Raw genomic sequence first — 27,726 nt, 5'->3', positions numbered from 1 at the left:
TGTAGGAAATAGAATAATGCATTTGAGAGGTGAGAAGTAGGAATATGCAAATTAGTTAGAAGACCCTGGAAACAGCCCAGCAAGATACCATGAAGGCCAGAACTAAATAGTATTTGTAGAAATGCAACGAAAAGGCCATGTGAGGCCATCCATTTAATGAACATAGGGGTGGTAAAGGGGGAATGAACCAAAGAAAACTATTGTTTGTAGCTAGTTATGCAAGTTATCTTACATGTAATACTTGAGAAAGAGTAGCTAGGATTTTTAATTTGTTCAGTTTGTTTTTTGATAAAAAGATGCCTGGGAGAATGAGTTTGGTTGGGGGATGCTATTGACACTTTTGTTTGGTGATGCTAAGTAGATATTTGGACTTTGGACTATGGAGCTTGGTAAAGAGATAAAGACTGGACAGACAAATTTGAAAATTATCAGCATAGAAGTGAAAGTTGAGTAATAATAACAACAACTGTAACAACAAAGACGACAAGACCATTAACTTAACACCTGTCATGTGCCAGCCGCTGTGCTTGGTACTTTATCTGCATGATCTTATGTCATTTTCATAGTAACAAAGCAAGGTAGTATTCACGGATTTTATAAGTGAGGAACTAAGGACCAGAGAAATTAAATAACTTGCTCGAATTCATACAAGAAGTTAGTGTCAAGGCTAACATTCCAACCCTGATTTATCTCACAAATTATTTTGCAAAACCACCTAAAACAATAAGGGATGAAAACAGTTGTATAGCAACATATAGAGCAAGAAGGGAAAAAGTGTCATTCAAGTTTATGCCCTGGAACTAATAACAGAATCATTTTTACACGAGGCTCATAAGCAGCCTGCTTCAAACCATTACATTAAAAAAACTAACAAACAACATGAGTTCCTGGATTAATAATTTATTTCCAATGATCAGCATCTAAACAAATCAGCTTGGTTGGGAAGGTAAATTCCATTACGGTATACAGCCTTGTTTCTAGAGGAGTAGTGTTAGTCTTACATACACTGTAAAAGGCCAGGTGCAGTGGCTCACGCCTGTAATCCTAGAACTTTGGGAGGCCAAGGTGGTTGGATCACTTGAGGTGAGGAGTTCGAGACCAGCCTGGACAACATGGCAAAACCCCGTCTCTACTAAAAATACAAAAATTAGCCGGACATGATGGTGCGTGCCTGTAGTCCCAGCTACTCGGGAGGCTGAAACAGGAGAATTGCTTGAATCCAGGAGGCAGAGGCTGCAGTGAGCCGAGATCACACCACTGCACTGTACCCTGGGTGACAGAGTGAGACTGTCTCAAATAAATAAATAAATAAATAAATAAATACACTGAACAAGTCACACTTTGTGATTCAGGCCATCATGGCCCACTGCTAACCCAAGCTCTTTGATGTGTAGCTAATTAATAACAATTACAATGCCGTACATTTTATGAGGCAAAATACACCTAAAGTTGAGAGGAATGAAACACATGGGTTGTTGTTCAATGTTTGTGTCTAAATGACTTGGTTCAGTGGTTGTATCTAAATAAACAAGTGGATTGTTTGCAATCAAAATGGAAAGTCGATTGGTCAGGAAGATGACCCATCAGATTTATACTCTCTGCCTTAGTCCAAATGCTTAGGAAGGCAGAACCAAACTATGAATCTCAGTTAAAGTTTAAACTGACTTAAGAACATTGTATTTTAATTTTCTGAAAATCTAGGTTACATTTCCTTTAATGAACAGAGCTATTTTTAAGTGGTAGAGCAGCCATACGTTCATTTGAATATGTGATAAGGCATTGAATAAACTTCCACTTTCCATATCACTTACAGATTGGATTTATATACTGAACACACCTTCACCATACATTTTAAACACTAAGTTTTCTAATTCCATCATTCGAGGCCTCTTTTTCCAGGCCACAACCTGCCATTCAGTCTTAAAATTTGACCTCATTCAGACCTGAGCATCTGGGCCCATTATACTAGTATACTCGATATTCCCAAGCAAGAACCATACTGTGGTTCTTGCTCATTCTTGACCTAAGCTATCATACCCACCCACCTCCTATGGCCCAATCCCACCACTTCTTTAAAGCCCAAAGGAAGATTGTTTATCCCAGAAGTTCTGCCTAGAGTGATCCACTTTTCCTTGATCTCACTTTCTTTTGAGCACGAGCATTTATTGCTCATGGCACCAATTCAGGGATTAAGCATTCACAGTCCTGGCATTCTTGCATTGTCTCCTGCCCTCTGTTCTGCTGCAGATGCCTCTCGTTGGCCCAATCTAGTTGGAAGCCTGTTGGAAGGCGAGTGCATACAGATCCTGGGTACCGAACAGGGTAGTGAAGAGTGGAGAATGGGTATGAGGTGGGGGGGCAAAGAGAAGATTACAAACACATCAATCCCATATTCTGTCAGTTGAAATCTAGAAGTGCAAATGCCTAGAGAAATATTTCAGAATCTCAGAACAGTGTAACTTGGTTTTGAATTTTATAGAAACTTTTTGGGTGGGTATGGGAGGGACAAGAATCTTTTGTGTAAGGCCATACCTAACATCCTTAATCCCATAAAGAAAAACATGTACACGCATTTATCCCAATGTGTAATTATTGACATAAACACAGCTGCTCTCTATGTTAAAGGAACATTAAACTCACAAAAGCATGGAAATTCCTACTTAGAGTGCCTACTCCATTCTTAACATGCCTTGTTGTGCCCAGATGCTGCATGTATTTTGTACCATTTAAAAGGTTGATGTACAAAAGCAAAAAGGTGGTAGAAAAAAATAACTAGAGAGAGAATTGAGCCAGTAGAGTTGTCCTATTCTTAAATTTTATTATGTACTAATCTCCATAATGCCTAGGCACAACAAAACAAATTAAGAATTAAAGAAGAGATAATTTGACTGTGGATTTCTGAATTTGGGGGCAGGAAAGCTACACATGTAAAGATACACAAGACACATACAGCCAAAACAGAAGAATACTGAAATTGTGTAGTTTATGTTAAACTTAAAATAAATAGAGATTTACACTTCCTTTTAGATCCAGAAATACATGAAAACTTGCAAGGCAGCCCACAACAAAGCAATTGACAAGAAAGATAGCATCTGCTTTTCTGTCTATTCAAGCTGAAGTTTTTCATTCTAAATGCAAGCAATGCTTCCCAAGTTAACATAATTAACTCATGACAATCCTGAAACATCATAATATAAGATACAGATGGAAATTCAAAGCTTTAAAAATGTCAGCTAACTGCATCAGGATTATCACTTTTTTTAAAGTGAACAAACCATAATGCTAATTAAAACAGGTGTTTTTATTTCAAACCTTTTTGCATGTTATGAAATTACAACCAGGGTTATTTATTTATTAGTCGGCTGTGAAACATACATCTTAGAAACAAGAGGATCTGTGAAAACAACAAAGTAAAAAGATAAAAAGAATGACACTCAGTACTGCTTTCTGACACAATAGACGACCAGTAGTTCAATTAGTTAGTAATTTCCGTGTGACTACTTGACAGAATCTACTAATTGTTAATCTTACACTAACTATTGCTTTACATAATTAATTATATTCAAATAAAAACAACAAAGACGTGTGGGCCTGTGCCCTTTTGAGAATGTTTTTTTCACAAACTGGTTCTGCTTACTGACAATATTTCTAGTAGAAAAAGATATTAATCTCACAGGAAAAAAATAACACATAAAAATGTTAGCACATTCTGCCTTTTACCTTGCTTACAGAGCACGAGTCTCCCAGTCCCCCACCAAGTACAATAACAACAGCAACAAAATCCCCAAAGCTACTAACTGCTTTACACAAATCTATCCTTGAAGCAAATCTTAACGGCCGAAGTCCTTTGAGTTGGGATCTTTCATATTAATTTAGAATTGCATAAAATTCTGAGTAACCCATCCAGAGGTCAAGCATCATTCATCATTAGTTGAAGTGACATTTTCAGCCCTTCATATTGCAGCTGCTAAGAAGGGAGGGGGAAAGGTATTCTTCGAGCGGAAAAAAACAAGAGACAGAACACAATCCTTGCTCTATCCACAGAGGAGAAAACAAGGTGCCTCTATGTCAGCATGATAATATGCTTACATTTGGTGATGTCATTCTTCCCTAACCCCAGAGTCACTAAGCACATGGCAGCTGCATTCCTCCACTTAGGAGTTCTGGTGCAGATCAGTATTAACCATTTTAGATGTAAATGAAGCCCTTCAGTGGGGTGGAGAACATGGCTTTGTGAGCTGAAATGATGATTTATATCCGAATCCTATCTTGTTTTTGAGAGATTGGAACTTGTTAACAAGGCTGCCCTTGTTCTTGTGGCATCCTCCAGGCATAAAAAATTCTGGGAAGCTGAGTATGATCACTTTTGAAACTGCAAAACAGCATTCCAAGGCTTTGCAGCAAACATACTGGCCAAATTCGGACCTCTGAAGCTTTGCAATTCACAAATGAAAGATCTCTCTCTCTGTCTCTCTCTCTCTCTCTCTCTCTCTCGTGGGTGGCCTTCTTTTCACTGAAACATTAAGGTCAGGACAGGAAATGGGAGCAATTAAAATGAAACAGTAATCAGAAAAAAATAGGTAGCTGGTATTTAAATGGCTAATAATTCACAGGGCTTTTGATAATGCATTGATGTTTGCAAACTCATAAGACATCTCTAAGTTCTAAATTATCAGGGTTATTTGCCCTAAGAATCAAAGTTTTCCTGGCAAATGTTCTAAGTCAAAAGATAAGTGTTATGAAATACAGCCATAAAAGAAGTGAGAGCTGAGGTTTCTGCTAAGTAAGACTCTCCAGCCTCTTTTTGAGTTGTCTTCTCACACTCTGCCCCACCTGAAACATCATAGAATTTTGGTGCTGATTCTTCTCCCAAGTTAGAGCAGCGTGACTGAAATGTATCTGCAGTAATTATTTACAGTGTGTAAGAAAACCAGGTTCCAAATTTTGCAAAACTTAAAACTAAAAACAACTGACATTTCACTGGGGGAAAAGAAAGTAATTTCAAGAAATCCTCCACTATCATGGCTTATGTAGATACGAATTGCATATATAGTTATAATTACTGTTGCATTATATCAAATGTAATATAATGTACCTTTTACATTGGCTTTCCAAATACATGGCTTTCCAAATATTGTTTAACTTTCCCCTTCACTATGTTTGGTTGGGATCATACCCATTCAGAAGAGGCAAGTGGAGTAAATAATGGCACATGATTGAGGCAGGTGAGATCACAGGTCCTTTGGCTTCTCATACATGTGGTCAGAGCCTGTAGTGGTCCAATTTTTAGACTTGACCTTGAGGAAAGTGTACACCTTTTAGTTACATCAAAACCATATGGGATTTCTGGCATTAAAAACTTCTTTACAACACAGGCTTTATGGTTGCATGTGGATGTCTCATATACCAGCTGACAAAAAATAGGAGTTGTCTATATACAGTGGTTGAAATAAGGATTGTTATACATTGCTCACGTTTTCCCATTTTACTTTTAACTACTCTGATATGAGCTGAGTGCACGCAGAGATCAGACTGGGGTGTTAAAAAGGCGATTAGCTAGATAACTTAGGAAGTTATTTTAGCAAGCTAATAAATATATTGAAGCAAAATATAACAATAATATTGATATAGTGCATTACAGATAACAAAGCACTCACATTCGCTATCCCACTTAAGAATCACAACAATCTGGGGAAAAGTTATTAGTTCATATTCTCCACATTTTAGAAGATAGTAAATGGAAGTTCAATGAAATAACCACTCAAAATTTGTGAATAGGAGAGCCAAGGCTTTGAGTCAAATACTCCTTCAATTGTGCTGTTGTAGCATGATTGCTGATATTTAAACCAGCTTCCCATTTTAATTGGTAAACAATACCTGTGTTAAGCTATGAAGAAAGCATCCAAGGATAAAAGTAGTATAAAATCATTTCAACTTCAAAACACAGGTAGCGAAAGAGACAGATGTATGGCTTTTTTTTTTTTTTTTTTTTTTTTTTTTTTTTTTTGAGACAGAGTCTTGCTCTGGCGCCCAGGTTGGAGTGCAGTGGCACCATCTCCGCTCACTGCAACCCCTGCCTGCCAGTTTCAAGCAATTCTCCTGCCTCAGCTTCCCAAGTAGCTGGAACTACAGGCAAACGCCGCTATGCCTGGCTAATTTTTTTTTTTTTTTTTTTTTTTTTTTTGTATTTTAGTAGAGACAGGGTTTCACCGTGTTGGCCAGGCTGTTCGCGAACTCCTGAGCTCAGGCAATTCGCCTGCCTCTGCCTCCCAAAGTGCTGGGATTACAGGCATGAGCCACCATGCCTGGAGGTGAATGCTTTTAAGGTAGGTTTCAATTGGCTCCCTGTGGCCCATCAGTTCTGTCTCCCTACATTGGAAGTCAAAAATTTCTTACTTTAAATGCCGCGAATCTGATTCCTGAGGCAGCATACCTTGGCATCATGATTAGCTAGGGATCATTTGCTAGGGATATTAGCTAGGGACATGGTTTTTTCCCCTGGGGTATCTGTCTTGTTTTTGACCCTGGGTTCCAACTACCTTGTTGTGAGGTGCTATACTTTATGCTTCTGGAAATGCCTTGTTTCTGACACAGGACTAATTCTTTACCTGGATATATAGTTTAAGGTGCTAATTATGTGTCAGTCCCAGCAGAATAGAATACCACATGAAAAATGTTCTTCATATGAGAATTCAGCTATGGCGCTGAGGTGGACAGAGCAAAGAGCTTAGAGTCAGAGCTCCATCCTTCAAGTCCTGAATCTTATCACTTAATCTCAGCCTCAGTTGCTGGGCTGTTGTGAGCATTTAGTCAAAAAATATAGGTGAAAACAAGCTGTAAAAATGCAAAGTATGGCTGGGTGCAGTGGCTCATATCTGTAATCCCAGCACTTTGGGAGGCCAAAGCAGGAGTTCAAGACCCACCTGGCCAACATGGTAAAATCCCGTCTCTACTAAAAATACAAAACTTAGCCAGGCATGGTGGTGCATATCTGTAATCCTAGCTACTCAGGAGGCTGAGGCATGAGAATCACTTGAACCTGGGAGGTGGAGGTTGCAGTGAGCTGAGATTGCTCTATTGCCCTCCAGCCTGAGCGACAGAGTGAGACTGTCTCAAAAAACAAAAACAAAAACAAAACAAAACAAAACAAAAAAACCCTGTAAAATATTATGCTATGCACGGTATTATCATTACTTTTCTCTTTTCTTCACTACAATAAAGCAAAAGAGAGCAGAGCATTTAGGAGAAAGCGCAGAGTCGAGTTTTCAGGATGCGTGCCAAGAATTTGAGAATTAAAGTTGTCTGAGTGCCACTATTTAGTTGCAACAAATTCTATCATATCTTCTTTGATTTTAGTGGAATATATAACATACATGTATCAAATGAATTTAGTCATGGTCCTCAGGACTAAGGTACTGAAGCTGCATCTTGAAGAATTGATTAGGGAACCTCTCAGTCACTACCTAGATATAATATGTTCTCTGAAAGGGCATCTTGTATAAATAAATTCATATTGGTGAAATGCTGGTTATCAAAAGTTTGAATTTTGTAATGGCAGGTTGTGTTACTGAGTTAATACAGGAGCTTGATAAACATTGTAAAGCTGAGGCAGACAGAATCCTCTAACTGCATTTAGAATAATTGTGACGACTCCTCTGCTTCAGATGCGTGAAGAACAGTGCACACACACAAACACAGTCAGGCTGGTTCATGTGATTCGATCCCAGTCAGCTGAAACAGCTCTCAAGGATCCATGGTGGAGGACACCAAAAAATTAATATAAAACCCTATATTATAACCTGAATTTCCAAGTAAAGGAACCCAAAACAAGAGAAACAGCTAGGATCAAAAGAGTAGGTCCCTCCAACTTCTGAAATAACATTCTGCATTTGAGCCTGAGGATCTGTGGCTGTCTTCAGCCTAACCTTAAATGTTAAATCTTATAAGCAATGCAACCACTACTTTGAGAGATTATTTCGTAGTCTAATGGATTTCATTGTCAGGAAATGGTTTTTGATATTCAGCCAAAATCAAGCTTTCCAGAAACAAGTTTTATTTGTGCATTTCCCTCCCTTAATATTTATGGCTAAAGTAGATATTTCATTTATGGGCTTCTTTTTTAGAGCTTCACATTGGTAGATGAGGAAAGGAAGAAGAGGAGTTTATTCTTCTTCTTTTAGAATTTCTTTTGTTTCTTATCTGTAGTAAAGTTAACTGCTAATATGGATAACTACTTTTCCACTGAGAACATGATAAATCTTTAGAAGGAGCAGCAGCACAGATAGGTGGGAATATTTGAACAGTACCTTGTAAGAGCTGCCGCTGGAAGTTCACCAAACAAACTAAATCTGTAAGAAGACTACTTCAACTTCAACAGCTTTAAGATTCTTTGTATTGCCATCATTCATTGCCAACTGGGGAGTTTTTACAGCCTTTCAAATCTTAGAGTCCTTTCAATCATTAGATGCCTTAAAGGGACAGAAGGCCTTAAAATGTGCTCCCGATCTCCCTAGTTGAAAAAGATACATCGACAGAGGGGGAAAAGTCAAACAACAATACAAAAAGCATTAATGCAAAGAACAGTGGGGTCTCTCCCTAATTTGACTTTCTCTACAGGTGGCCTGCAGCTGCGTCCAAACAGGTTACTCCATTGCCTTCCCACGAGCATGACAACAAAGTGCATCTGTATTCACAAGAATACATTTAGTGGCATAGACTGATTCAGGTCTAAAAATAAGAAAAAAGGATTTTTCCTGCATAGCCTGAGGTAACTCTCTGCACCAGCAGAAGACAGTAGTACTCTTGTCTCCCTGGCTGTGCCTGAACATAAAGGAATCAGAAACCTACTTCACATGACTCAAGGAGGTCCAGGGCCAGCAAGGAGTTGATTCACTCTATTTACATCCACGTGAGTCCCATTGACTACATATAGCAGCCAGGCAGGCAAAATCAATAAGGAATATTCTGTTTTCAATTGACTTCAAGGTAAACTATACATACAGATCTCTGAGACTGATACACCTGTTTAAATAAGTATTTTATCATGCTGGGCAACATTATGCTGAAATAGGCAAGATTAGAGTACGCCTATTTGGTCAGGCTTAAAAATAATTGATCGGGCCACCTTCACTAATCTCATTTAAGGAGAGACACACACCCCGTCTGTGTGGTTATTTGCTGGGAATATGACAAGGAGATGAAAAGCCAGAAAAAAATGTTTGTATTGGAGGAATAACACTCCTAAAATTGATTTCTAATTTATGTATTAATACTTAAATATCTGATGAAGTGAATTTCCAGTGATATTGCTTCTTTAATATAACATTTACATGTGAGGGAGTGCAGTGTGTCTCTGGAGAATCTCTCTTTTCTTCCTCCCTCCCTTCCTTCTTTCCTTCTTTGCTTTTTCTCCCATTTTCTGTCTTATCTCCAAAGCATGTATTCACATTCTTTTCTTTCATGGAATCTCTACTCTTCCCAGTTCACCAGGCTGATTTAGGAGCAAGTACATAGAAGGTGCTTTCCCACTCATCCCTGAAAACAAGCAAACAAACAAAAACAACAACAACAAAAATCTGTTCCCTCCTGTCCTCCCCTCCTTGCATTTCCCAGGGAGCCATCCTTTTTGGAATGCAACTGTATTTCGATTCCCAGGAACAAGCAGGTCATCTCTGAGATATGTTTAATCCTTACTGACCCAAGAACCATGAATCTCCACTTTTCTTCTAAATGCATGTCTTATAAATGATTTTATTTGTCAATTGCTTCACTCCAGGGCTATCTTCTTTTTCAACTTTTTGATAGTTCTGCCTTTTCCTGTCCAGTTAGAAAGCTGTATAATGTTATTTTTGTAACGTGTACATGACAACCATTAGTAAAAACTTTTCTCTACTTTGGATATCCAGATGGTTCCAATTTCTTTCCTTATTTCTCCTTAAACCTCCACCTATATTGTTTTATGAAGATATATTATTTAAGAACACCTCATAATAACATACTTTTGCTGACACATGCCAAAAAAAAGACTAGCTGATTTTCCTTTAGAATTCAATAAAGAGGAAAAGAATGAATTTAATAGTGATTAATGAATGCCTTACTGTTTTATGTTATATGAAAACAAAACCTTGAAATATATATCTTGTAAAAAAGGTAAGCTAAGTATCCAGTAGTCAATGTTCATTGTTAAGTGAAGGCACATAGCTGAGACTGGAATAAAATTAACAAATCATTCCCAAAGAAAGTCAGGAACAATTGAGTGGCCATAATAAAAAGGAAATAGATGCAAGTTAAGCTACATAATAGTATTCTTATTTTAAGTGAGACACCCCTAATAGAATGCAGCCTGAAATATGGCTTTTAGGAATTAGAATAGAAAACTAAATCCTGCATCATACAAAATTTGAAGCACCAGATGAAGTAAAAAATGCTTAATTATACTTACGATTGGTATGTGAAGGACAAATATTTACTAAGAGAAAGGTGATGGTCTCCAATCCACTTCATCAGAATAATCATAGAGCTCAACTTTTAAGTGGTCAAATCCTGTGTAGCTAGGCAGATTCTGCCCTCGTGTATTTGAAACTATGACTTTTGGTTGATTGCTGACTAATGTAAATGTTAAGGTCTATGAATATTAGCTATATCAAAATAAAGCATTTAGCTTTCAAAATTTATTCTATTACCTTTCCCTTGCTATCATGTCTACTCCTACACTCCTTGGCAAGAAAGTTTCTAAGATTAAGCAAGATAAAGATTTTGAAGAGACATCAGTACAGGCCGTTTTAAAACATTATATTTTGAATCAAATATAAATATAGAGACTACCACATTGTAAAAAAAAGTATGAAGAGAAATTGAACAGTGTTTGGAGAGTAAGTGAGATAAGTTGTTCGGTTTCCTTCAAACTCAGCAGTTCTGTTATTCTAAGCTATGAAGACCAGTTTAGGGACTTCTACCGCCATCCATGTTCTTCAGCCAAACGTTCAGAACTACCATATTGCTTTAGGACAGAGATTAGCAAACCATGGCCTGTGACCAAATCTGGCTTGTGACATATACAATGTACTTTAAAAATAGGTCATATTTTAAATGTGACATGCATTAAAGAATATCATTCATATAGCTGACACTTTTTAAAATGTTATTTTCATTGCATTTTCTTAGCTTTTAAAAAATATTAGATTGTAATAAAAAATACAATGAAAGATAAATATACATTTGTGCAGATGAATCTTTTACCTAAAATCAACTGAGAGTTCACCAAAATCATCTAAAATACTACAGTAGCCGGTACCATCGTAGACAAGTTCTTTAAAGCCCAGTTTTTCTGACAATTGATTTAATCTACTTTATGAGTCTCTAAGCTCCTTCAAAGCAGTAGGTAATTTCACTGTAGTAAATGAGATGAGGTTTGTAAAAACAATTTAAAGCAATACAAAACTATGTAAAGTAGTAGTCATGGTTGTAACACCAGTAGTAGAAGTAGGTGTTTAATAAATATTTGTTGGCTGAATTAAATGTTGGCTCCATTCTGAACTATGATTTTAAGATTTTTAACTGCTAAGAAGAATATTGTGCAGATGAAATAGCTGATTAGGATATGAAGGCCTACTGAGTTATATATGATATGAATACTCCACTAGTTATGCAATGCTTGGAATTCCAAGTGGGAGTTTTACTCATGGAAGAAATACAGTATGTGGCCCTGTGACTAAAAGATAATAGGAACTATTGAAGATGGAGATTTTTTTCCACTTGGTCCTGGGCACGGAATCAAAATCTAAGTTTAACTTGGTGATATTTAAAAATGCATAACATGCAAAAGTCTGTAATCATTCTGTTTCTCAGCTAGTGAAAATAGAAGTCTACAGCATAGTATGTGTCAATTTTGAAAATATAGCCAAATCAGGCCGACAAGAAAAATTTTAAGTAAATAACTTCATCCATGTGTTTAGTACCATCCATGACTCTATGCCAAATTCACTTCAAGTTCCCTTCTTCAGCAACTTCTTTTATAACATGTGCCCGCAGCTATTAACTATCTGAAGTGTTGATGAGGATAGGAAAGAAATTACTTTTATGGTTATGTTTTAGGGGGGCATTTGGAATTCAACAATATGTGACAGAAACAGCTTCAGCTAGAAATAATCTGTTAAGAAAAACACCTGAATTCTAAGCAAATAATTTAGCCATTTAAAACTCATGGAGGCAGATACACAATATAAGAAATAGCAAAACTGAAAACAAAATTAGAGAAAAGTGATCCGTGTCACCCAGTAGCAATGGAAAGCGTCAAGCATAGATTAGACTAGAAATATAAGATGAATTCTAACTGTGTGAAAATATTGGATATTTAATTTTGGATCAAAAGTGTTTTCTGGTCTCTGAGACATACATTTCTGGTTTTGGTAGTTATGGCTTCGTTTCTTTCTCATGTATTATTTGTTTCTGATTGACAATATTTTCGTTGTGTTTTAGTTACCATTAATTTTTTTTTCTGTGTAGATGGCGGGGGTAGGGGTCTTGCTTTGCTACTCAGGCTGGTCTCGAACTCCTGATTTCAAGCGATCCTCAACACTCACATTGCCCATTGCTTATGCTCAGATTAATTTTTGTGATAAATGTGCATTAATAGGAACTTACATGTTCACACATCTTTCTCAAGGTACATTATTCTTTGCTGGTAGGAAAACTGCTTAGGCTCTCATCTATGGACAGCAACAACACTATTAAAGCTCTCATCTATGGACAGCAACAACACTATTCAAATGTCTGAGTTCATTAACATGGTTTTTTGTTCTTCCTTGTAGAAGCATCTAGGTATATAGCATTTGGTGAATAGACAAATACATGATTTACTCCATAGCAAACAATTCTTCCAGAATCTATTGCTTGTGTTCCTATTTGCTGTTGGTTTGATTTTAAGAAAGTACATAGGCCTCCCTCTATTTAAGACTCTCAACTTCACTTTGCAACCCTGAACAATGTACCCCTACTCTCCCTTCCTTTCCAATGTTTAATATATTTCTCAGAGTTTTTGTCTCCCACAGACAAGTTGCATACTTTCTAACTTCAAAAAATAAAATAAAACTTAGTTTTTTTTAAAAAAAAAAAACCAACTTATTTTTTAAGATAAGGTCTTGCTGTCTCCGAGGATGGAGTGCAGTGGTGCGATCATAGCTCATGGCAGCCTCAAACTCCTGAACTTAAGTGATCCTCTCACTTCAGCCTCCTGAGTAGCTGGGACTGAAGGCGTACACCATGCCTGGATAATTAAAATTCTTTATTTTTCATGTTTTTACGGAGATGGGGGTTTTGCTTTGCTGTCCAGGCTGATCTTGAACTCCTGGCTTCAAGTGACCCTCCCGCCTCAGCTTCCCAAAATGCTGCTATTACAGGTGTGAACTACTGAGCCCAGCCCAAAAAGAGTGAACAGCTCATTGCTGCAGTAGATCAGGCCAGGCATAGTAAAGGGGTAAGGTATAATGTGGCTATATACCTATTGGGTGGCTAGCCCTATTGGGTGGCTACCCCAAGCCAGCTACTCACCTCTTTCCCTTTAGCCACCTTACAGCGGATGGTGACCATCTGTGTAACATAGCATGATGGCCTCGGAATTTTAACACGTGTATTTCACTTAATACAACTGAAGTCTTTACTTCCAGAAATACTAAAGGCATTTGAAGTTTTTAACTTTGATCACTCCTTTAGCCACATTTGATGCTATTTTTGACCAAGATTTGATCCGTATCTAGACTTTTATTTTACACCACACAAATGAGACTTCCTTGTTTCATGGAGTTTCTTTGGATTTACCTATTAGTTTAGATGTTCTTTGTTAGCCTTAACTTCATGCATTTCAGACACTCCTGCTGGGATAATGTAGCTTATTCTTGAAATATGTCCTTATAATAACTGCTATGGTCTGTATGTGTCCTGTAAAATTCATTGTTGGAAACAACCCTCAATGCAACAGTGTTGGAAGGTGGAGACTTTGGGGAGGAGTTTAGGTCATAAAGGCTTTGCCCTCATGAATGGATTAATGCCACTACAAAAAGGGTTTGCAGGAGTAGGCCCACTCTCTCTTGTTCTTCTGCCTTCTGACAGGTGAGTACATGGCAAGAGGACCCTCACTAGATGCTAGTATCTTGATCTTGGACTTCCCAGATCCCAGAACTGTGAGGGAATAAACTTCTGCTCTTTATAAATTACCCAGTCTTAAGTGTTTTGTTATGGCAGCAGCAATTGATAATTCCTTTTCAAAAGAATCTGTTGATATTGAGCTCTCAGGTTTGTTTGCTTGAAATTGTTTTTGTTTTACTACAGACCTTAAGAAACAAACATAAAATATTTGTTTAAAAGTTATTTTCTCATGTGAGTAAATGCTATTTACTTAACAAAACAGTTACTTTCCACCTTTCTGTGACATTTTTAAAAGTTAAATATTTCTCCTTTGAGATTAAGGTCTCTCTTCAATTAGAGTTGAGAAGGGAACAATAGGAGGGAATTACTAGGCTAATTAAATGCTCACTCCATCAAGCTGGCGACTGGCATCTTGAGAGATTGCTGGACTAAATGGTTCTCATGATTGGTCTCTTGCTTTCTCCTAGAAAGGTGACGTTAAGACATTTCCTCATAAACTGGATTAAAGGTAGACTTTCTACATTCAGTTGCATTTGTATTGAGATCTATAGGCTTAAATATATACATATTATGCATCCTAAATTGTAATTTTAGTATTGCTCTTATAAAATACAAATTTTATATTTTTATTTCTTTATTATAATATTTTGCATTTAAGCAAATCAACTAATAGTGATATTAAAATATGAGAATTCCTAGATTTTGCCATATTTTCTGAATTACAAATTCTCAAAACTCTGCTTCATATCATTTATGCTTTCAATCCAGTTAGTAGCCATGTATTACCATGGGAAGCTTGAGGGAGGGGTAGGAAGAGGACAAGAATAGGAGAGGCCTGTTTAAATTAGTGAGAAATACAAATTGTAGTCAACTTTGAGATCATTTAAAATAGGATTCTTATGTATTATTGAGGATAATAAATGGTTCTTAGTGAAGGTCCTTAGAGGGTCTGAATAAATGATTAGTTATGAGGGATTTATAGTTAGAATATTACTTTTGTGAAGATACATAGATACCTCTAAAATAATTAAAAACACTTAAAATGTTCCTGGAATTTTGGAAATATTTTCTGTGAAGACTTTTTGCATAATGAACAGGTAAACATCAATCCATTCTCTCTCAAGTATGTATGAATCATTAATTAGCGCAACATGAATTATTTGTAAAGATTAACATAGACTATTCTAAAGCACTGACTTAGTGGTTTTAAATACAAGTAAGGATAACCATTTGGGTAAGGGTTAATACAAATGCTAGTTTATAAATAAATATATATAAATAACTTACTTTCAGAGATTATTTTAGGCAAATGGGTGGCTTTGGAAATAGTGGCTTTTATTCAAATAATTGTTGTAAATTTAAAACCAATTTGAAGTGATCATCATATAGGGTGACACAAGACCTCCTTGCCCAGCTATATTTTAAAGGCAGACTATGAGTTGCAACTCTTCACAAGTATTCAATTTTAAATTTAAGGTGTCTGTCCTCCAACTTCTCTGATTCCATCAACCCTGTTTCTCTGGGGTTGTTATGCATTGAAAGTTTTAGCATTCTTTGAACAGTAAAAAATACAACCTTTTGCTTGTTTTTAATTCCAGCAGCACGTTTTGCTTCACAAAGACAATAATATGGGTTGAAAAGGCTCTGTTCTGATGCACTAGATGGTTCTCTTCATATTGACTCAGTCTAGAAGGACTTCATGTTAATGCAAATTAAAATCATAGTATTCTTCCTTAGCTAGGCCACATTTCCATTCTAAGGTCTTCATTTCAATTCCTAGTAGAATCTACATGCCACATAATCCTGGAGAATAGAACCAACACCATCTCCATTTAGCACCAAGCAAGGGTGGTTTGGGGAAAAGTTGAGTGAGTGCCTTTCTACTAAAGAAAACCAAGATGGTACCTTCACTGTAAAAATGTTTCTTTACATAAAAAATAATGTCTAATACCCTCAAATTAATTTTCAATTTCAGTTTAAGGGATGGATCTTGGTTTGAATATAAATGCCCCTGGAAAAGACAATACTTTGGAAGATTGTTTATATTTTACATCTTAATGTTTATGAGTTTCAGATACTCTTCTGCAAGTAGGTTTTAGAATAAGGGACAAAGAAAAAAGTATATGGGAAATATGCATCTCAGAGGACTTAGGAGACGGTATCCTCAAGAAAGGATGAGTGGGCAAGATATTAAAGCAAATTCCTCCTCCATCACAATCTCATGCAGGGCTGCCCCAATATGTACACATTTATTCATTCTTTTGACTAGTCTTAATTTGGCATCTACTATATTCCAGGTAGTACTAGGCTCTGAGGGTACAAAATTAAACATAATTTACTTGCTGATTTTAGGAATCCTATTCTAGTGGAGGAGGAAGAAACCAACAATTACAATACATAATGACAAATGTGTAAGCGAAGATGGTACAGGATTCCACGGGGCATTACGTAAAATAGAAGGACACTATCTGCAAACTATTTCTGGAGTTAGAATCTTTATTTTTGGAACATGAGAATGATACTTATTTAGTATAATGCATTTTGGATCCAGTCAACCATTGCTGTCCTGACATTATCAGCTCTAGGAAGGGCCGAGGATCTGATGCCAGCAAAGTTGAAAATATTTTAATATCTGGTCAAGTCAGCTGCTCTGACAGCAACTGATTTGCTGAATGTCAAATCGGTTCACTCTGGAATTTAATGGATTTTAATAAGGTTTGGGATGGGATAAATCTAAACAATGTTCGAATAAGTATTTACCAATTTAGCTTTTTGCATTTTGGTTAAACAGAAGGACCATCTCTAAATACAGATTTACATCATGGGCACAAAGACAGCACCACTCTTCATTTTATGGATTATAATATGCCTTGACACAATCCAGGGAATTTGAAGGTAGAGTTGACACTCCATCATTTGCTTGTACGGTTGTGTCTTTTCCTAAAACTGAACAATGTAAGCAGGGGGTGATTATAGATGTTAACTTTGATGCTGCTGACATTTGTCACCTTCTGTCATAACCTTAACATTATTTAAGCATATTTGTGTAAGGCCTTTCTGATTGTTCAAAGTACAACGTAGAATTCTGAAATGTACAGGCTCCTGTAACATTTGCTCCACCAGCAATCAACATATCAGATTTTCTTTGAGAGGTAAATATTATGTGTCATGTTCCATAGGGAAAAACATTAAGAACTGCTGTGACATGGTCTTTGATAATTTTTCCCCTATTTTTCCTTTGTTTTAGAGGTTAGTTACATCAGAAACAAAATAGGCTGTGAATTTCTCTTGTCCTTCATCAATCAAAGCTGATCAATTATAAGACCAGGAAAACTGGATCACAACTCCAAGCTACATCGTCATATTACATTCATATTATTACTAAAAGCCACATCTATATTCCAAACTGGGATACTATAACCCCTTTGTCATTTTCCAATAAAAAGACCATACCAAATAGGCCGAGCACACCGTAATTAGCAGCTGGCGGAGAAAGCTGTAAATCTGTATGAGTTCTGAACGATTTGCTTACATTGTTGCTTTGTTGACAAATGATGCTGTACATGTTAATGTTCCTGAAATGTCCCCATTGCACCTGACGTGCCAATAAATGCCAGCCAGCTGTATGAATTATGGAAATAAGATTTTTGTTTATGAAGGTATCCCAGACATTTATTTTACAGCATTCCTCTCGACAGATTTAATGTCTGGAGTTACATTGAGAAGATATTTGCTACCTGACATAATGGATAATGGAAACTTTAAAGGCTCTTTTTTCCTCCTTTTAATGATGAGATTAATACATCTACACACGCACACACATGCACACACATATATATGTATTTTAACACTTACCTTGTGACTTCATAATTTGCTGTTTATTTTTAAACATCACACATTTCTGCTTAAGAGTTAAATAATATATCAGTTTCCAATTAATAGTATAAGGGGATGAATACTTAGAATACCAATAATTTTCATTTCCATTTCAATCATTTTTGTAACGTGTATGTGAATGGCACATAAATATTTTGCACAGATTATATTATTTTGCATTTGTTGATCTATTACTTTATTGTTGGTTTAAAAGACCTTTACTTGTGAGTGTTTCTTTTATATATTCTAGGGGTATTTAAGATAAGGCTCTGCAGAAGTTAGCACTCAATAAATAGTTTTATCTCTAATATAGTTTAAAATAATATGTGCTATGGCTGGGAATTCTACAGATTTTACTTCATTGCCCACTGTACCATTTAAACTCCTTATTCAGATGAGCGATTTAATTAATGCAGTATTATGAAAGAGCTCTCAGATAAGATAAAAATTACCTGATCACATAATCATAAAATAACCACGGATTCTGAATCCTATAAACCTAACAATAAAATATATCAGATCATACTCATGTAAAAGCCTTTCTTCTAACATCAAAATAAAATTTATAATTCCCAGATGTGAATGCCAATCTTCTCAAGTTTTAATCTTCAAAACATTTGTGTAATAGAGGCTCACTATCATCTTTAAATTATTGTACTTTGCCACAGGTCAAAGGTAATTAGAAATTATGATTCCTGGGTGATAGCCATTTTTTGTTTACAGGTTCATTGCTAAGGAATGGATTGAATCAGTACCTAAACCAGCTGACAGGTAGGTGTCCAACAAGCATTTGGGTTTGAACACTGACCTACAAATGATTTGCCACATCAAGTGACTTGTATTTTAGGGAAGACGCCAATGAGTCCTGTGTGAGTGAATGGCTGCATAATTTTTACCTGGATTAAATTATTTAGTTGGTTTTTCCACATACAGGCCAATGTCCTTTATGAATCCAATTTGTCCACAAAAATGTTTGATACGCTTTCCCACATCTTCTTCAGGCTCTCCTATGCTACCTAAACTCTCAAGCAGCAGTAGAACAAAAGTGTCTCTTTATGGAACCTTGAACAACGGTGCCAGTGGGATGGTGCACATATAAATAGAGAGAAAAGTCAAATCACCTTTGTAACCAAAGGCAATTCCCTTCGAATGGTTCTTTCCCCACAAAAGAATCCAGATGGCAAAAATGATGCTTAAATAAATGCTGGCTACAGCTCAATTCTTCTGGTTCATATTGGCTACAATACAAATGACACTCACATTTCTATATTAACCATTTCACAGGTTTTGTATGAAGCATAAGCTAAGTGTCCAAGGGCCCCTTGTGTTTAAAGAGTTAAGTCTTCTCTTCTTGGCATAGCTGCTCTAGTCTGCATTTGCTCAAAGGAGGATTAAGGGTAATGTGCAGCAGAGGAACAACTTAAGGAGACCTGGACTATATCTCCCTCCTCAATATACCTGCACAACGAGAAACACAGGGCTGCAGACTCCACTCTCCAATTCTCTTTCACATGCATGGAATTCATTGAAACTAATGGGAAGGAAATTATAGTCATCTCACAGGTCTCCTAACTATAGGTTTCTGTATGGATAAATTTAACTTGTCAAGGTTTCTTACAGAACGACACAACTAAAGTCAAATAGTCAACTAAGAATAGCAGAAAAACCTAAAAGTATTCAATTCTCCCATTTCAGTTAAATAAAACCAGATACATTATAGGCAAAGATCAGAGTTTGACTGGAGATTTTCCAAAATGATGCTATAATTTCTTGCTGAGTTATGAAGTTAAACACATATAAAGTAATAAATATCTGAACAAAATAAAGACACTTCACTTATTATATGAGAGTATAATTTTAAAAATGAATTGTTTATAAACAAATGAGGATATATTAGGATTGGCAGAAAAAAATGAGGGAATTACTGAATGGCATTTGACTGTCATTCAGAAAGGGCATATTATCCAGGAAACATTGAATTTAATAAATAATATTTGAAACAGAGATATGGACTATAGTGCTTTATTTGGGCAAAATAAAGTGATAAAAGTGAGTTTCTTCAGACAAAAATCCTTCTCAAAATAGAGTTATAAAAATCTTATCCCAGCCAGGTGCAGTGGCTCACACCTCTAATCCCAGCACTTTGGGAGGCTGAGGCAGGCGGATCACCTGAGGTCAGGAGTTCGAGACCAGCCTGGCCAACATGGTGAAACCCCGTCTCTACTAAAAATACAAAAATTAGCCAGGCATGGCGGCAGGCACCTGTAATCCCAGCTACTCAGGAGGCTGAGGCAGGAGAATCGCTTGAACCTGAGAGGCGGAGGTTGCGTGAGCCGAGATCGTGCCATTGCACTCCAGCCTGGGGGACAAGAGCAAGACTTTCTCTAAAAAAAAAAAGAAAAAAAAAAAAGAACAAACAAAAAAAACCAACTTATCCCAGAAACACTTGCATAATAATAACAATAATAATAGTCATCTATTTCACTTGGGTTTCATATTAAAACTTTATAAATTAGGAAGTATTATTAGTCTTATTTTATAGTTGAGGAAGCAGAGCCCTGAAGTATTTTAACCAATTCAAGGCTGTGCCACTTTTGCACAGCATGGCATGAATTTACCCCAAACCACTGTGATTCCAGGATCCACATTTTTAAGCAAATGTTGTTTTGTGCCTAGAAATGAAATGAATGGTCTGACTGTCACAATCTAATATTATATTTAATGCATATGTTTTGAAAATTTTACTGAAAAATAGAAAGCAAAATCACATCGATTGGGGAAGTGGATCCTCTGGATAGAAGTTAGTTGGAAAGGATTAGTAGGAAAAATAATAAAGTAACTGTGAATAGTGAGTTAAGCACCAAATGTATACTTTTGGAAATTTACAATATATATATTTTTAGCTCCTATATGCACATGATATCCCAAACTCATGTAGTTCTCACTAGGACCTGGATTGGATGACTAATTTTTTATGAAGAAATAACTCCTGGGTAGGAAATAAATGATAAAAAGAAAATCTGTGTTTCTCAAATGAGGCTATCATCTGCAATAGGTACTGAATCAAGAGAGAGAGAGAGAGCAAAGATACATGTATTAATTACTAAGTCTTTGAAGCAGCGGCAACAAGAATACTCACCACTTGATAAAAAATGTGCAGCTATACATGGCACACATCCAAACTTAATTTTTTGCCAATTAATAAAAAACATTCAATAACAAATATCCACTGGAACAACATCTAGTGAAGGCCCAAGTAATATACTAGATGCTGTTAGTGACAAAATAAAAGACACACCCTGCCTTCAAGTATCTTGTAGTCTACTAGAAAAATAAAGATAATAAAACAGAAACATTATAGAAGGCGATTCTGGAAGGATTTCTAATCAGCACTTAGATTCCATAAAGATACCCAGGAGGAATGGATGGTTGGGGGTGAGGAAAAGAAGGGGCCAGGCAGCTGAGGCCTGATGTCCTTTATGCAGTGGTCAAGAGAGGAGTGACCTGGAGGACAGGAGTGAGGGCTAAAGTGGCTGTTGTCCCAAATCTTTTCATTTATCCCTATACTCACACAGCAGTTATTAAACTCCTATCATGGCGTCAGTCTTTGAGGATATAGTGGTGAGTGAGACTGCAAGATCCTTCTGCTCATGGAGAGAGACAGACAGGACAACTAAACAAGGTAGCTTTGTGCTGTAATACTATGAAGAAAACAGAGCAAAAGTGTATGCTAAGTGTTTCTGAGCTACTTTTTAATTGGAAATTAAAGAGAAACAGAAATTTTGCCTGTTAGCATTGCCATCCACTCTGGAAAACAGATTGTGAAAAATTAAGAAAATATTTAAAAGATGGTGTTTTCTCTCAAGAAGGAGAAATGGGGCATGCACATGGAAATGAGCTAAACAGCTGGGGTATGGACATTCAGGTGAATCAAGGGCACTAGAAAGCAGTGACTGCTTCATGGAGCAAATACAAAATGAGTTTTAATCCTTACTATCTTCACTGATATTTTTCTGTGCAAGTCAAGTATCCTGTTTCATACTGTATTCTATATTCTAGAATCATATAAGCCACACCTTTCTGCCAAAATCGGTCTTGCTGAGTTGTTAAGTTACACACATAAAGTAATAAATACCTGAAAAAATACATTTCACCTATTTATATGAGTTTAATTTTAATTTTTTAACAGTTTCACTTTATGTTTAATGGATAAAATTACTTCCAAGCTTTAGTGCTTCTGTTTTTCCCTAGCTCCAAAAGTCTTTTGAACAGGAACCTCATCCTACCCATCTTTATATTGTTACCTTGGGTCTGGGATATCATAGCCATTTGATTGATGTTTGTTGAAAAGAGAGTAGCTGCAGACTCAAGAAGCCTACCCTAGACCTAAAGAGGGATGGGTTTAAGGCAATGATATGCAAAGTGGCTAAGAGCACATTGACTTTAGAGTCCATCAACCCTAGACTTGAATGTTGGCTCTGTCACAAACTAGATGGGGCCTTTGAGTAAGTTAACCTCACTAAGCCTCAGTTTCCTTACCAGAACAACTGAGATAATAATGTCTACTTCTTTGTATTCTGTGATTACTAAATGAGATAACATAAATAAAGTCCACAGTGTGATGCCTGTGTTCAAGAAATGCTATTAAAGTTGTGGTTGAGACAGACAAAAAGCAGGTATTAGAAATGACTTAAACTTGTCACCTTTGGAAAGGAAATGCAGTCAATTTCTATAAGCAGTAGAGTACATGGAGAAGAAGTAGATCTCTTGGAGCAAAGATAAAATTTCTCTATCATTCCAGTGACCAGTGACTACTTAAGTGGAAGTATATATTTAGGCAATGAAAATCACACTTCTAATGATATGTTGAAAGGAGGAAACTAAGGGTTAGAAATGCAGGTATGAGAATAATTTGATTGCAAGTGATGCTTGAACTCTGCAAGTTTTCTGAGGGAGTAGTGGGTAGGCAAGAGGGCCCAATGGTGAGTTTTTTTCATGCCTAGTTTAATAGGTGAAATAATGAAGAGGAATCAGCAAAAGGGAAGTCAAGGCCTTTTAAAAGTCTTGACCCAATGTCTTGAATCAGGAAGTAGGTTATAAAAAGGGCAGAGAAACTGTCAGCTGGTTGACAACAAATATGAAAACAAATTTATTAAAGAGTATAGAAAACTTGCCCAATCCAAAAAGCAGAGGGTTTAAACTGGGCAGAAAAGAACAGGTTCCAGAATCATTTATTGCTTAACACAGTACAGGGGATGTTTATTTGTGGGAGAATTCCTGGTGGGCATGCCCAGAGTGTATACAAGTCAATTTAACTAGCTAAAAATTTCCATGGGATACTATGCAGCCGCAAAAAGGAATGAGATCACGTTCTTTGCAGGGACATGGATGAAGCCGGAAGCCATCATCCTCAGCAAACTAACACAGGAAGAGAAAACCAAACACTGCATGTTCTTACTCGTAAGTGGGAGTTGAAATGAGAACACATGGACACAGGGAAGGGAACGACACCCACCAGGGCTTGTTAGGGGTGGGGAGCAAGGGGAGGGAACTTAGAGGACAGGTCATTAAATGCAGCAAACCACCATGGCACATGTATACCTATGCAGCAAACCTCACGTTCTGCACATGTCTCCTGGAACTTAAAGTAAAAATTAAAAGAAAAATTTACACCTGTCTCTTCTACTCACAAAAGCAAATTGGGATGCAGTGGAGTATGCCATTAAAAAAATAGAAAGCTTAAATTTTCTCCAATATTAGGAAAAGGCAAATACATAAGTACTTAGAGCAACTGAGATGGCTTCTCCAGAATGTAGTAAAGGGAAGAAAGTTAGATGGAGGGGTAGACAGCAGGTGCCATTGGCTTCCCAGAGCTCCTGTCCAAAAGGGATTGTAAAACATAACTGAAATCTAATGAGTGGGAGGAATTTATATTATTAGAACTTCTGTTAGGGGGACAATTACATAGCCTTCTTTGATAAGCTGTTTGGAAAGAAGGAAGAGGGCTAAAATTCTAAATGATTATCCTTGAGCAGAAAGAAAACATTGTTAAATCGTCTTCTAAGGAAGGTGAGTCCAGTTAAGAGAAAGGCTTTTGATTTAATGGGTTCAGTTAGTTGAGGTGCTAACAACAGTAGACTTCTTTTCTGCTCTTCTATCACTCAATACTAGGGATTGTATCTCAAAAAACTTAATAAATATAAATACCAGTTTAATGAAGTGACAAATTATTGGCTTGCTCTGGAGGTCAAATGACCACTGTGAAAAATCTGCAGCTTACTAGGGGTGTCCACAGGTCTCCATCCAGTTCTGATAGAAGGGCTGGTATTCCAGAAACGACTGTGAAAGACAGAAGACAAAGGAAAGGAAGGTCCTCATCCTTCATTATGGGAAGGGAAAAGCCAACTAAAGCAAGGGGTATTCAGGAAACATAATATATTTGATTTGTTTGAAATAATTCAATAGAAAGAGGCTTTTTTTTAAAAGTAATGTTTGAAGTAAGACCGAAACACAGTGGCACAAACTTTAGGAGTCCACAAGAGCTCAGGTCATAGATTATTTCTAGTGAAAAGCATCAGAACTAATTTCTTTCAAAACATTCCCAAAACAACAAACCCTGAAAAGTAGAGAGCCACCACACTAACAATACAACCCTTCAATCTTTAGTAAAACAAAAATAGCCATAGCATCAAACCATACACAGTCATATGTACTGTGAAATACTGTAAAAATAGAAATCGAAGTCTGCACCAAGATGAGGGAAGAATCTGAGAGTCAACACAAACTTCAAAAATGGCAGATGAAAGAGGTTTCCTTTAAAGGGTTACAGTTTCAAGAGTAATATCTGACAATCTGATTAGAGTATCAGGACATGGGAATGGCTGTATCCTATGAGTAAGGAAATGACCTAGAAATTTCATGCTGCAGAAAGTCAAGGGAGGTGGTACTGAAGGCAAAATCATTTTATTGTCCATTCCTCAGGATCATCACATAGGAACAGTGCCAAAGAGGAAGTTGCATGAAGGAGGAAGAGGAAACAGAAATTTCTAGATTCTGACACACAGAGCTGTGTTGGAGGGAGGAAAGGGAGAGGGATGGAGGAGGAGAGAAAGAGAGAGAGAGAGATTGAGAGATTGAGAGATTGAGATTGAGTAAAATTGCCCTAATCAAGAATTAGAGTAATTGAGTAAATGGCCTTTTTCAAGAAAAAGTAGCTAATTACAGAAACAGCATGAAATCATCAATTAGACCCAAGTAAAAAGGAAGAAGGGCTATACATCAGAAGATGAATTATTCAAGAAACCAGTGGAATTCAGACAAATAGTTAACCTATAGTTAAAAAAAAAATATTTACATATTATGCAATGGAAAGAGTATTTAAAAAGAACTATAAGTATTCAAAAAGATGAAAAGCAGTGGGTAGAGCTCAGGAAATTAGTGGAATTAACAAATCCCTATAAATGTCAAAGTAGAAGCAAAATAAAATATGCATGACTGAAAACACAGAATGGTATACAAACTAGAAGAAATTATATAAAATGAAAAGAAAAAGATTAAAGACATAAAATATGTCTATGAATAGTTTTAGTATATTGATAAAAGTGATTACAGTACACAAGAAAAATAGGACTAGTTCTCTTGAAGAAGAGAATAGAGCAAATGCCACAGAAAAAAAAATTAAAGATGTAATAGAAGAAAAGTTTTGAAAATACAGAAGGACTTAAATTTCCTTACTAAAGTGACACACTTAGTCCCAGGAAAATTTGACATAGAACAATTAATCTAACAAATCCTAGTGTAGCTATTAAAATTTAGGAATTAAAAATATAGCCATATGGTGTTCCAGGCAGCACAGGTAAATCATACTAACCAAGGGGGTGGTGGTGGGAGGAATGACCTCAGAGAACTTCACAGCAACACTGAGTGCTACATGAAAAAGTGTGCAAAATTTAGAGAAATTTAAATATAGATATATTATTTTATACCGTGACATGCTCTTCCAGTATAAGACCATTTGCAGACACTGTGAAACATTCAGAAACTAGAGAGTAGCCTAACCATGATTCTTTCTGGAAAAGTAACTGAATGCTTAAATCTAATAAACACAAAATTACAGCAAGGCACTTTCCCTTACAGAGAAAACTTGGTAAAATAACAAAGGGGTGAACATATTTCCTGTGCAGCATAGAATAAGACCAAACAATATTGGGGATATACTTATAAATGTAAATAATATAACATTTTCAATAATAAAATCCTAAATAACTTGGAAGACTATCTGGAAGGAAGAATAATTGTACTAATTTCCTCATCAATGAGAAAGATTTGGTCTAAAATAAAAACACTTTTTATTAAAAACACTTCTTTCAGAAGCTAATATTTCTTGGGTCAAATAAACATTTATTTGAAGTTCAGTCATTTTTCAAGTTCATTTAATTTCTTTTTCTTCTTAAAATTCAAGTAGAACTAAACATAAAACATTTTTGCTAAGGAATAACCACTGTGGCAGAATCATATTTTTATCTGACTATTCATCTCTATCAATCTCTCTACACCAACACATAGGGCCATCTAGAATGGTGTTGTTCACTAAATATTAAGATATTTATTTATGTGTATATTTATGTATGTGTTTATTTATGAAATGACTAGATGATGTAATTTTTCTTTGTATATTTTTGTATTATTTAAATTTTATAGCAGTTATTTAAATATTCTTAAATATAGTTTGTAAATATTCTTTTGACAAGTTTTTAAGTATTCTTTTGACAAACAGCAATATAGTTGCATAAAATCAGGCTGGGGTGTTTTTATAACTCTCTACTCAGTCAACATACAATTACAAGAAACGGCATGGAGCTGAGAAAATCTCTGCATTCTTTTAGTTTTAGACATCTATGGAATTGTGAACTTCCTGTGGGATTTATCTTGCGTTTATCTAAATTTAGAAAGAACATTTTAAACCTCGGGATGATTTTTTAACACCCAGTATGTTTCTGATCCATCTCTCTAGTCTTTATCAGTATGTTTAGAAAATGTTTTAACAGCAAAAAGTAAAATACATGTACGAAGATATTAGCAAGACATTCCAAAGTCAAATATAAATCATTTGAGCCAATTTATAATTAGAAATTTTACCTGCCACTGGTTCTGATGTGACCATACTTTATTTTCCAAGCTATTCAGAAATGTAGATCAAAAATCTTGCACTGAGAATAAAAGATGTATTATGTTGGTGCAAACATAATGGCCAAACTGCAATTATTTTTGCACCAACCTAATATGACCTAACTTACTCACATTCATAAAGATTGCTTTGCAGAATTCCAGTTTGACTTCAATTGGCTTTTGTAGATATGTATTATATTTCTATATTGTTGTTGTTGTTGTTGTTGTTTTTTGACAGAGTCTTGTTCTGTTGCCCAGACTTGAGTGCAGTGGCATGATCTTGGATCACTGCAACCTCCGCCTCCTGGGGGTTCAAGCAATTCTTGTCTCAGCCTCCCTAGTAGCTGGGATTACAGGTGCCTGCCACCACGCCCAGCTAATTTTTGTATTTTTAGTAGAGATAGGGTTTCACCATGTTGGCCAGGCTGGTCTCGAACTCCTAACCTCAAGTGATCCACCCACCTTGGCCTCCCAAAGTGCTGATATTACAGGCATGAGCCACCGCACATGGCCTATTGTCGGATTTCTAAATGCTCTAAT

At 36.3% G+C, this 27,726-nt stretch overlaps 1 protein-coding gene and 1 long non-coding RNA gene across 11 annotated transcripts in view; both read right to left on the bottom strand.

Moving 5' to 3' along the window:
- The window catches only part of ARHGAP15 (Rho GTPase activating protein 15), a 638,934-nt gene that overhangs the window by 156,310 nt on the left and 454,898 nt on the right, over window positions 1–27,726 (bottom strand). The gene's annotated exons all lie outside the window — the stretch shown is intronic.
- LOC101928361 (uncharacterized) lies at window positions 885–27,448 on the bottom strand. The gene is made up of 2 exons (XR_007087253.1): window positions 5,096–27,448; window positions 885–4,513 (listed from the first exon to the last, which is right to left on the bottom strand). It is a non-coding gene; the product is annotated as an uncharacterized LOC101928361 (long non-coding RNA).

Source organism: Homo sapiens, chromosome 2, assembly GCF_000001405.40.
Source record: "Homo sapiens chromosome 2, GRCh38.p14 Primary Assembly".
Taxonomy (NCBI): Eukaryota; Metazoa; Chordata; class Mammalia; order Primates; family Hominidae; genus Homo; species Homo sapiens.
This window is presented reverse-complemented; position numbering and strand designations above follow the sequence as displayed.